The following is a 12,955-nucleotide window of genomic DNA, read 5'->3' as shown; positions in this document are numbered from 1 at the left end:
GTTTAGGAACCTGTGTAGACTAATTTCAATTTATTACTAGGAATAGGACACATTGTTACTCACCAACCCCCCAAAAAATTCAGTATTGCCTTAATAAGGATGAAGGAGTAAAATGGCTGTTGGCTAAGTAACCAAAAGTATCTTCTATACTCCTCTTACATGGAGGTGCTATATTAAATCATTATCATCTTAGGTTAAATTAATACAGTATATTGCTTTCATTTCTGCTACACATTGTGTTTGATAGGGAAATTACGCACCAAACTGCAATGACCATATTGGAGGTACAAAGACAATTGCACATTTAAAAATATTTGGTGGCTTTAGGTAAATTCAGGGCCTGTGATAAGTTACTATACAATGGGATTGGTAAACATTTTTTTGTTAAGAACTAGATAGTAAATATTTTAGACTTTGTAGGACATACAGTCTTAGTCTTACATACTAACTCTACCTTTGCAGCATGAATCCAGCAACAGGCAATACGTAAATCAACGGCCATGCATCTGTTCTAATTAAACTTTATTTACAAGAACAGATGGTGGGCTATATTTGGCTTCTAGGCCATATGCTTTTAGGCCATATTGTTTCCAACCCATGCTTGTGAAAAAACAAATAGGTTGCCAAATGATTTATAAAACAATGATTAAAAGTGTGCACATGTTATATATGTGTGGAACATAAACAGAAATGAGAAAAAGTTTCCAAGTCTTTCCGGATATTTGTCAATTCAATAATCGTTGTTGAAGTTACAGTAAGTTTTTGGTGTTTGGTGCAGTATGTGCATGGGGGCATGATCGAGTAAGTTGTTTAAGTTCAAGCATCAGTATTATTTTTCAGTATCCCAGGTTATCCCAAGGTACAGCTAGGTAGAGAACCAGGATGCTAAAGCAGTGCTTCACAAACTTCAGTGTGCACACTCATCACCTGGGAGCCTGTTAAAATGCAGATTCTAATACTGTAGCTCTGGGGTGGAGCTTGAGATTTTGCATTGCTAATGAGCTCTCAGTTTAGACTGATACTTTGGTCCAGACCAACTTTGAGCAGTAAGATGCTAACACTGGTTTTTAATGTCTGGGATGCCTAGGTCCTGCCTCAGAAGCTTATGTATTTGATCTAGGCATTGAAATTTTTTAAAACCTCTGCAGGTGATTTGAATGTGCAGCAAAGCTTGAGAGCCTCTTTGCCAAAGCTCATGATGATGTATCGATTTTAGTTATGTTATCAGTGGCTCTAATGTGTTCCCTTTTTCTCATTCTCCTGTCAAGCGCCGCCTAGCCATTCCTCTCCTTTTCAGCTCCAAACATCCAGATGAAGGTGGGGATCTGGGTTAGGATTTCATCCTGTTGCTCTTGTCCATCTCTGAGGAGTGGGAGGAAGTTAAGGGTGGAAATAGGAGGCTCAGGCAACCTGGGTTTGGGAAGAACAAGCACAGTGTTCTAGGGGTGAATTCAAGGGAAAGCTGGTTGAGATAGAATTGGGGGGGATTACACAGAAAGCTATCACAACAAAACCTGTCTCTAGTCTTGAGCCTGTGTGTGGGACAGCAAAAACAGCCATGTACCCTCCTGAGTTCTGGTGGCACCTGACAACCAAACCAGCTTCTAAGGGTTTTCCCATCTCTGTATGCAGGGTGACATGATGGGTAGAAATACAGTGCTAATGTATACAAGTGAAGTCTTTCCCCCAAAGCGTAAATAATACAAAGGATCTTAGAATTGAGTGGAGGGTGATGAGGGTGATTATGGTGATAACTCATAGCTACCACATAATGTACTTACACCATGCCAGGCACTGCTGTAAGTGATTTACATATATTAACTTATTTAATCTCAGCAACCCAATGAGGTTGATGCTTTTGTGATCTCTATTTTATATATGAAGAAACTGAGGCACAAAAAAATTTAATGACTTGTGCAAGTCAACACGAATGGCTAAGCTGGGATTTGAACCCAGGCAATCTGAAGTTAAGAAACCACTGTAGCAAACTCTCTCCAAAGTATGAAAGTAAGAAGAATCCGCAGTGACCTGATGGTTTTAAAAATGTAAACACTCACAAAAAGATGCTCGCTTTGTTCTTCCTCATATCTAGGAGAGAAAAAATATATATGATCTGAGACAAAGTCAGAGAGGGGAGAGATCCTCAAATCAGGCAGATAAAGAAATAGTGAGAGGACCAAGTTAGAAGAGTAAAGGGGCAAGAATACCTTCTGGAAACTTATATGACCATAATCCTCATTTTTAAGAAAGTGTTACAGTTATGAAATAAGGTAATGATTGCATAGCTAAACTTGTTCATATTTTACTACTGTTCAAACCAGTTAGCTTTAAAAAGACTCGAGCTACACATGTAACTTTGAATACTGTATACAAAACCTGTAATTTTTATCTTTTATATAATAATCTACATGTAGCACTGAAGGAACAAAATGTTTTGAGTAGTTTTTCAGAAACATGCATAATCTAAGGTTTACATACTAATTTCATCTGTTTAGGTAGAGAATAGGCCAAAAGATATGGCAAAGTTGTGAAAGGAGAGAGGAGAAAAACGTAGGCTTACATCACTACCATTTCTCTAAGGAATCTTTTTCTTACTAGGAAATAATTTCATTCTATCCATAGCCATAAGACAAGACAAAAGAACTCTTCTCCACATCTAGAAAGGAGAAACCAGAGGTCACACTTACATCAGGACAAGCTGATTTGAAAATACACTAGGAGTGGACACTGGGGGCCATGGTCTGGAATAAGGTAATGGTCAGGTGGGAACAGAAACTCTCTGGGTGTTCAAACATCTCAACTATACCCTAAATGTTAGCTGCCCTGAGCTTGGGGATAGATTTGTCAAACTCTCTCTTACACTTTTTCTGGTGAGCTCATCCAATCACATGACTTCAATACCATCTATAATGTCTCCCTTACGTATATTTCCAAAGCTGACATTCATTTTTCCATCTACTTGATTCACGTTTCCATTTGGATACCTAATAAGGATCTAAGATTTCACATGACATGTATTCCCCAGCCCTCTACCCTAGGTGTCCCCACTGCAAATGTCCTGAGGTTAAGAATAGCACCATCAACCCAGGTGCTCAAGATCAAACACCAGAACTTATTGTCCCCATCTCCCAGTCCTCACCTTCTGTCCATGAGCAAAACTTGTCACCTTGTCCAAAATCCATCTGGAACTAGTGAATCTATCTTCATTTCCTCAGCCACTACCACAGTTCAAGCCACACTAGGCTCTCATCTGGATCAGCTACAATGGCTCTACCTGTTCTGCACCTTCAACTCTCCCCAACCCCTCTACATTCTTCAAAGCAGCCAGTCACTGGCTTAACAGTTGGGGGTATTTAATCTACTTTCTATTCATATCACAAATTTGACCTCCAACTTTGACCTTATATTTTTCAGTCCTTCTACTGAGGTATATTTTTTCCATATTAGTTTATTGGAAGAAATGGCACAATTGAAAGAATAAAAACAGGAGTAGAGGATTTGTAAGGGCAATATGCAGGAAATCACCCCCATATTTGTGGGGAAGCCAACCTAAGGCTCAGTCCCATTATCACTGTCACTCTGGGTGAGCTTGCCAAAGAGGTACTCTGCCTTGCTGTCATCCAGAGCCCCCATCTTGCTGTCTAGAAACAAGAAAAGTTATCATTTGCTTATTTTAAAAAAAAGTGTTCATGAAAAGTTGAAGACCCCCTTTATTTTAATCCCTGCCCAATCCCACTCCCTTCACTTCTTCCCCAGAGGCAGCCACTAGGATGAATTCCATACCATTGTTTTACACTGTACCATGTACATGCACCCACATATACCATGGCCCAAGACTGCACACCCCACCTGACGCCATCCACCCCACCCATCTCACCCCACCCTACCCCACCTCACCCCACCCTATCCCACATGCCCTCAGAGTTTATAAGGGGAAGACTAATGTGTTTTCCAGGGGCCCATAGAATACCTTTCCCCTCCACCCCCACAGATCCTGAGCTGCATGCAGATGGGACAGGACTGGGTGGAGAGACTGCTGGATACCTACTTTAAGCCTGCATGGGGATGTGCCCTGATTCCTAAAAGGTGAGAGTGTTGTAGGCACGCATCAACTGGACACCTTTATTGCTTTGAGAACAGATAACTTTATTGCCAATAATGGTAACACTGAAAGGAAAAAAATTGAAGAGAACGTTCTGAAAGGGCAACATGCACGCCCCCGCCTGGTGGCCTGACCCAGGGAAGGCACACCGTGGCTGTGGGGCCCATCTTGGCTCAGGTGTCTTCCTCGCTGCCGCCCAGGGTGAGCTTGTCAAACAGGTACTCTGCCAGGCCTGCTTCTGGGGCTCACGTCTTGCACAGGTTGCTCAGGTAGTCACCCAGCTTTTTGATGGCCTTGACCTGCTGGTTCAGGAAGTGGCTCTCCAGGAAGTCGCATAGCTGGGGGTCACCTTTCTCCATGGCCAGCTGGTGTAGCTCCAGGAGGCTCTGGTTGACACTCTTCTCCAGGTGGAAGGCGCACTCCATGGCCTCGAGCCTGCTCTCCCAGTCTTGACGCTCTGGCTTCCTGATGTCGTGAAAGCAGATGCAGCCACTGTGCTGGTTCTGCAGCCTCATCAGCTCCTGGACGTGCTCCCTCTTCTTGTGCAACTGGCGCAGGAAGTAGCGGCTAAAGTGCTCCAGGGCCGCATTGTCCCGGTCGAAGTAGAAGGCCATGGACAGGTACACGTAGGAAGCATGCAACTCCAGGTTGACGTGGTTGTTGACAGCGGCCTCGCAGTTGGGGTGGTAGTTCTGACGCACCTGCAACACTGGGGTGGTGGCCATGGCAGGCACCTTGGGATGTGGTGAGCAGGCAGGCGGGAGCTGTGGTAGTAGTAGCTGGCTGAAGGCGGATGGCTAATGGCGGAAAGGGCCGGAAGTGGGTATTTGGGTCCATTATCTGGGGAGGGATGCATTCCTTTTCAGTGGAAGTGGGCAGGGAGGAGAATGAGTACTATGTTCCATGTGCAACCCAGTGAACTCTGCACTGTCTGACCTGTGTCCAGTTTTTAGTTTTGCAGTAACATTTCTAATGTCCAAGGACTTTCTCTTATCCCCTAATTGGTCCCCTCTGTAATAGCTTCTTCTCATTTTACAAACCTATTGTTTTCTTAAATTCTGAGAATATCAATTTGATATTTTTGGTAACATTTTCTTGTTTCTGGTATAATAGCTCCTTCCAGATTTAGTTCTGTTTTGTCTAGAGTTTGCCTTGAGTTTAAATATTTTAAAATAGATGGCCGGGCATGGTGTCTCACACCTATAAATCCCAGCACTTTGGGAGGCCAAGGTAGGAGGATCACTTGAGTCCAGGAGTTTGAGACCAGCCTAGGCAACATGGTGGGACCTTGTCTGCACATAATTTTGTTTTTTAAATTAGCCAGGCATGGTGGCATGCACCTGTGGTTCCCACCTACTTGGGAGGCTGAGATGGGAGGATCACTTGGGCACAGGAAGTTGAGGCTGCAATGAGCCATGTTCACAGCTGCACTCCAGCCTTGGCAACAGAACAAGACCCTGTCTCAATTTTAAAACAATAATAAAATAAAATAGAAAACAGCAAAGTGGAATGCAACAGTTTTAACGAAAAACTAATATAAAACCTAGGTTAATAGGGAATTATAATTTTTATTAATTTATCCCATTTTACTTAATACCCTCCTGGATCTTTATAATCTGTCTTTCAAAGTAATAAAAATGAATCTCTGTAGCATTGAAAATTTTCAATAACTTTAGATAGAACTACTTCTTTATCATCTCTTCTACCCTTTCAAACATTACTCTAGGCTTATAATGAAACCTCATCAGTTTCTTTTAACGAAAAGGTAGCTGCCTTGAACTTGATCTCCGCCTCAAACCAAAAAAGTTCAAAATTGTCTGTTTAAAAGTTCAGATTGCCACTTCCCAGATAACAGGAAATCAGCCTCCTCCTATACTCCTCCCAAATCGGCCTAATTATATTGTAGGTTCTATTAGGTTTTCTTCTCTTCAAGACATTCTGTCTTAGGCTGCAAGTGTGTTAGCTACATGGTATGATGCTAATGAAAACTGGCTTAAGAATCAAAAGCCCCAAGTTCCAATTCCATTCAGAAATTGGAAGTATCACTGGTCTTTTGGACACTTAAAATACTGGTCTAAAGATGGAAAGAATATCACCTGCTTTGTCTATCCCAAAGGACATTGTTCTAAAGAATTTTTAATTAGTAGAGGTCAGGCACGGTGGCTCCTGCCTGTAACCCGAGCACTTTGGGAGGTGAAGGCAGGCGGATCACTTGAGGTCAGGAGTTCAAGACCAGCCTGGCCAACATGGTGAAACCCCGACTCTACCAAGAATACAAAAATTAGCCGGGCATGGTGGCAGGCACATGTAGTCCCAGCTACTCAGGAGGCTGAGGCAGAAGAATCACTTAAATCCAGGAGGCGAAGGCTGCAGTGAGCTGACATTGCACCATTGCACTCCAGCCTGGGCAACAGAGTGAGTGAGACTCCCTCTCAAAAAAAAAAAAAAAAAAAAGAATTTTAAAGCAGTAGAAATTAAAACAAAGGCTAAGACTAAGAATAGGTACCAGCCACCACTTTTTCTGTTTCTATCATATCTGAGCTTGAATAAGTACCATGTCATGTGTCTTTACTACTGGCCCAATAAGGACTGGCATAAGAAGCCTGAAGGTAAATTGTTTCATTGTAAAGCCCCTGGCATAACCATCACTAATTAAACTAGGAGGGCACTGTGTTCAATGAGGAGGAGGGGAGGAAGGGAATGAGGAAGATGGAAATAGATGACCTGGGACCTGGCTCCTATTTTGGGCTTCATCAGTATGCTGTAATGAGAACATGGGCAAATCAACAGTTCTGGGGCTATTTCCTCATTTGTGAAATGAACAGTTTGACCTATTTGGTTTTTGTGGACTCCATGAAAAGATGATTAGAACCAATTCCATAAGTCATTCTTCAACAATGGGATGGAATGAAAAGGCAGCCTTTAGCCTATTCATGATGAGCAGTGATTGGTATCAAATATTAGCTTTTGGAATTGGATACTATCTTAATATTTAAATAATAATGCCATTTTAAGTTATAGCATTAGTGTGACCCTCTGAAATATACAGTTCAAGGAAAACCAGAGCCTTCTTTGGATCTACTGGTTGTTGTAGTTCACTAGGAGACAGATTTCCTGTTTCAGCTTGACAGTACCCAAGACTTGGGCTAACAACATAGGGCTATGGCAAAGTTACAAATTCTTTTGCAATTCCTTTTATTGTACTTTGGAAATGGCTAAACTGAATCTTATTTCTATAGTTACTGATATACCAACCATGAGAGTCATGATCAAATGTCCTGCCCTAGAGGGGACTGTACCCTAACATTGGAAGAAGGAACTAGTGAAACCCCGTTATTAAGGAAATCAGCAGATACCCACTATAACAATAATTGAATTACAGTAGTCACCCCATCCAGATCAGAACCTCTGAGAAGTGAGTAGCAGTGGTGGTTGGTTGCTGTACTTTATCAAATATAACATAGCACGAATTGAAGAGTACACCATTTTTATGTATTAAAAAAGAGAAAAGGGCCGGGCATGGTGGCTCACGCCTGTAATCCCAGCACTTTGGGAGGCCGCAGTGGGTGGGTCACCTGAGGTCAGGAGTTCAAGACCAGCTTGGCCAACATTGTGAAACCTCGTCTCTACTAAAAATACAAAAATTAGCTGGTCGTAGTGGTGGGCACTTTCAATCCCAGCTACTCGGGAGGCTGAGGCAGGAGAATTACTTGAACCTGGGAGGCAGAGGTTGCAGTGAGCTGAGATCATGGCATTGCACTCCAGCCTGGGCAATAAGAGCGAAACCGTGTTTCAAAAAAAAAAAAAAAAAAAAAAAGGAAAAAATTCTGCTTTCAACGAATCCATGCCATGTCATAGTATGTAAACTGCACCTCAATTTCAGAGAAGTTAAAATATGAATAAATGATTAGAGAATCAATGAAATATGATGTTTAATTGGTTTGGTCATCTACTTGCCTGGATACATTTATCAAAGTAGCTATATTTTTTCACCACCCATAATTATTTATACTTTTTAGTAATTTATTTATTTTTTTGAGATGGAGTCTTGCTCTGTCACCCAGGCTGAGTGCAGTGGTGCGATCTCGGCTCACTGCAGCCTCCGCTTCCTGGGTTCAAGTGATTCTCCTGCTTCCCCCTCTCGAGTAGCTGGGACTACAGGCACATGCCACCATGCCTGGCTAATTTGTTTTTGTATTTTTAGTAGAGATGGGGTTTTACCATGTTGGCTAGGCTGGTCTCGAACTCCTGACCTCACGTGATCTGCCCACCTCAGCCTCCCATAGAAACCAACAAAAAAGAAAAAAAAAATGGTATTTTCTGCTGGCTATCAATATCATTTCACAACACCTCTCTCTCATCATTGGTTGAGTGGTTTTTGCTGCTTCTTGTCCTTTTTTAGAGGGAGAGGTTTACTGTATTAGGCTAAAGAATATAATTCCTTAGGTAACAGCTAGCCCCTTATTCTCTGAATTCATAGCTAACTTCTTCCCAGCATGCTATGGGAGACATGTTGACATCATCTTTCAGATGGAAAAATAGATGCCTTAGACATTTACCAAGCAAAGTTGCTGCCCTAGGGTTCTACTCAAATCCCAATTTGAATGTCAGTGTTTTATTGTCATCAATTCCATTGACTGGTTGCAGCTCTGTAATGGATACATGAGCCATTTCCTAACCATGACAGTACTGCTTATTAAGCAGTGAAGGATCCCAAAGCAGCAGCATGATAGGTGACAGGTCCACAAGTTAAATTAAATCCATGGTGCAAATGATTCTACAAGTGACAACAAATAGATCTGTCAGCCTCACTGGTACCCAGTCTCTGAGGATAGTTCTGAAAAAGGTTGGCACTGGTACTGGGAGAGGAAACTTGCTGAGGTAACTTTATAGGTCAAGGTTAACATACTGCTGGCATGGGCAGGAGAGCACCTCCCCCCCCGCCCTGACTGAAGAAGTCTACTACTTTATTAATATCATACAGGCTGAAACTCTCCTAATTCAGTTACTACCATAACCTGACATGAATAATTGACACTACAAATAATTTATAACCTACAAATGGGCCCAACTGCCAGAGACTAAAGTTCACCACTAACTTAAAAACAATATCAATGATATAATCAATAAAAACGTACTTTAAATGAATCATATAAGGAACAACATGTTATTGACCTGCAACAGTCAGACCTCCCTCATCTTTACAGAAGGTAGCTCAGAATACCAGTTGCACAAAATGACATATTTTGGCCCTATTTAACTTATTTTCAAGAGGTTCCAAAAGAAGTAGCGAGGAAGCCTTTGGGAGTTCCAGGAAACCACCCATGTGCCTAAAGGGAAACTTCATATTTGGTTCCCCAAGGAGGGTCTGGGATGCGTCTAGGGAAGGCAGGAGAAGGTCTCAATGGAAATGAATAAGGTATGGCTAGAAGAAGGCCACAGCAATGCCCCATGTTTGCCTCCTATATTTCTTGCCCAGACTGGACTTCCACCTCCCTTCTTTCCTGAATTCTCTCATCCCTAACAACTCTTTAGTCACTAGGGGTGGGGAAAATATTCTGAATCTGGCTCTAGTGCCATCAGCAGATCATGAGAGGCTAAGTGAAATAAGAGTTTCCCTAACAGTGCCAAAGAATCGGACTTTCTGCCTGCAAGTGCCATGAGTAATCTCCAGGACCTAGTGATCAATTTTTAGATACCTCAGACACAGTATTTCTTGTAATCACTAATCCCAACTCACAAGTGTCTACATGCCACCTCCTGCCATGGGCTCTGAATTCCACAATCTCCAAATGTAGTTTTTGTAACATATCCTAGTGTGAAGGGGGACTGCATATCTCTTTCTTCCCCAATAATTTCTACATAAACAAATTTAAATGGTGACACTTTGGAATGAGAGATATTATCTAAAAAGGGATTGCTGAACTCAGATCTCAGATCCTTGGATATCAATAACTCAGTTTCTAAAATATAGCAGCAACTTGGCGGCAGAATGGCACATGGAGTGCACAAGAATGGGATAAAGACTTGGGATGATGCACCCAGACAAAAGAGTCATCCATATCCCTAGAAATACCACCCACTGCAGAGCTCTGAGTATTCTAAGTGGTTTTAGCTAAACTGCTTTCTTTAGAATCTAATAAAGTGTTACCAAATAAGGCAAGTTCCCTGGTCCAAGGAGACTTGTGACCCCTGGACTGTGCATTTTAAAAATGAACTTTCTTATTTTGAAATAATTTTAAATTTACAGAAAAATTGCAAAGATAATACATAACATTCTCCTGTACTCCTCACCCAGTTTCCCTTAATGTGAGCTTCTTACATTAGGATGGTAAATTTGTTATAATTAATGAATCAATCCTAGTCCATTACTATTAACTAAATATAACACTTTTTTTAGATTATATTAGTTTTTCCATTAATGTCCTTTTTTTCCAGAATCTAATTGACATTTCGTCTAATCATGTCTCTAGTTTCCTCTGGTCTGTGACAGTTTCCTAGTCTTTTCTAATTTTTTTTTCATGACCTTGACTGTTTTGATAGTAGTCAGACATTTTGGAGAATGTCTTTTGGTTTTTGGATTTCTCTGTAAGTTTCTCATGGTTAGACTGGGGTTATGAGTTTGCGGTGATGGAAATAAATGATGTCTGTTCTCAGTATATCATATGTGTGACTTAGTAACTTTGATTACCAGGTCAAAGTAGTTTGACAGGTTTCTCCATTGCAAAGTTACCCCACCTCCCCCCACCCGCTGATCCTTCCCATACTCTGTTCTTTGAAAGCTAGTCTTTAAGTTCAAGCCACACTCAAGGGAAGAAGAAAATTAAGCTCCACCATCTGGGGTGGAGTATTTACATACATAATTTGGAATTCTATAGTGTGGATTTTTCTCTTTTCACCTTTTCATTCAGTCATGCATTTATATCATTATATAATCATGTGTATTTATTTTGTGTTTTGGGCTATAATCCAATACTACATCATTTATTTTGTGGCTAAAATTGTTCAGCTTTGGCCACTGAGAGCTTCTTTAGGTTACCTCCTGTGTCCCTTTAACATGCTCCCATTCTTTGGATTATCACACTTCCTTACTTTCTGGTACCACAATGTTCTCCAGCTCATCTTGTATTCTCCACACTCCAGCCCAATAATGAGCCATGTCCCCAGAAAGTCCTGTTTTATTTCACTATAGAATGGAATTAGAAACCCAGATCTGGGCACTAGGTGGGACTATGCAGGTGTGCTAAGCACCCAGACTGTTCCTATGCACGCTTAACTTTGAAGACAACCACTGTGGAAAGTCAAGCAAAATAAACTAGAAATTATATACGATTAAAAGTTCTATAATCATTGTTTTAAAGAATTACTACTATTTTCTCAATGTCAGTGCAAGATTAACAGCTCCAAAATGTAGAGAACCCTCATAGTCTCATAGAGAGAAGAGAGAAAAAGTGATAGTGGTGAAATAATGATTCCTAAATAAAGTGGCAAGAATTCAGCACCTAAAAACTAGAATAAATTATATTTATTGAAAGTTTTCTCTGTTCCAAAAACTATGCTAAGTGCACAGCCTCAAACCTCATACTGTAGGTATAATATCCTCCTTTTAAAAGATACAAAAATTGAGGCCTAAAAGATGAAATGTTTGCGCAAATCAATATAGTCAGTAGATGGCAGAGCTCAGACACCAGATCAAGGTCCATCTGATTCTCAAAGCAGAGGATTTTGGCATGACAACTCAGCTTTATTGAGGTATAACTGACAAATAAAAATTGGGTATATTTAAGGTTTACAGCATGCTCATATAAGCCTTTGTGCATATGTCTGCTGTTTCTATCAGAACTCAAATGCCATGAGGAGCAGCCTATTCATTGTTGTATATACTGTGACTGTTACATAGTAGGCATTCAGCAGATAATGTCTGAATAAATCTGACCCATTTTCTACATGATGAAAATGAGGACCGTGAAGTACAATATGTTTTCTCCCATTGTATAATTAGACTTGTGTTCCAAATTAGGTAAATAATTCCAACAATAAACATTCTACTGAAAGCAGACTTCTAAATTCACATACTTCATGTTTGGAAATGATGAAACCACGTATGAGTAAAAGTATTCTGAGCGATAAATTTTAGTAAACAAAAAGATAGTAAAGATAGTCTAAAAGTAGAAAGCAAATCTCAAATCCAATCATTTTCTTCACTGCCAAGATTAAGATGAAACTTTGCTGGCAATGCTAGATCCTGATTAACAGATAACAAACATTGTTCTGAAACAGATAAAAAATGAGAATGCCACTTCACTTACATTTGCTAGATCAAAGGCTGGCACACCTTATCCTAAATGGGATTGTTTTAATGGCATGAACAAACTCAGATGACAAACTTTAAAGCACAAAGAAGGAAATATAACAACAACATAATAAAAACCATTTTAAAGTCTATTATCTATCAGCCAACTTGGGTTTAAATCGGTTCCTCCCATAAACTAAATTTACTTTGTGATTTGCCAATCCATTCCTTCATTCATCCATCAAATACTTATTTGGCTTCTATTATGTGCCAGCACTGCTTTATATGCTAGGGACCATAGCTATGAACAAAACAGATGAGAAATGTTGCTCTCATGGAGCTAACAGTCCTGATGGGGCGGGGGAGGTAACAATTAAAAAAAAAAACAAATAGATGTCAAATGATGTCAGTGCTTGAAAAAAAGAAAGTCACAGAAGGGACAAGCGGTTGCAATTTAAGGTAGAGTGCTTTCTCACTGTGAAAATGAACTTGAGTGAAGACTTGAGAGTGGTGAAGGAACTCAGACATATCCATCTAGAAGAGGAGAGAGCAAGTGCCAA

At 40.6% G+C, this 12,955-nt stretch overlaps 1 protein-coding gene and 1 pseudogene across 5 annotated transcripts in view; both read right to left on the bottom strand.

Moving 5' to 3' along the window:
* PRRG1 (proline rich and Gla domain 1) overlaps positions 1-12,955 on the bottom strand; it is a 107,928-nt gene that overhangs the window by 10,942 nt on the left and 84,031 nt on the right. Inside the window, exon 4 of one of the 5 annotated variants that reach the window (NM_001173486.2) lies at positions 4,126-5,559. The exons of the other annotated variants lie outside the window; for them this stretch is intronic. Coding sequence (NP_001166957.1) covers positions 5,482-5,559 — 78 coding nt within the window. The 3' untranslated portion in view covers positions 4,126-5,481. Of the gene's footprint in view, positions 1-4,125; positions 5,560-12,955 lie in introns of those variants that run through there. 5 annotated transcript variants of the gene reach the window in all.
* On the bottom strand, positions 4,108-4,913 carry FTH1P28 (ferritin heavy chain 1 pseudogene 28; annotated as a pseudogene).

Source organism: Homo sapiens, chromosome X (genome assembly GCF_000001405.40).
Source record: "Homo sapiens chromosome X, GRCh38.p14 Primary Assembly".
NCBI lineage: Eukaryota > Metazoa > Chordata > Mammalia > Primates > Hominidae > Homo > Homo sapiens.
Note: the sequence above shows the minus strand (reverse complement) of the source record. Positions and strands in the feature narration are given on the sequence as shown.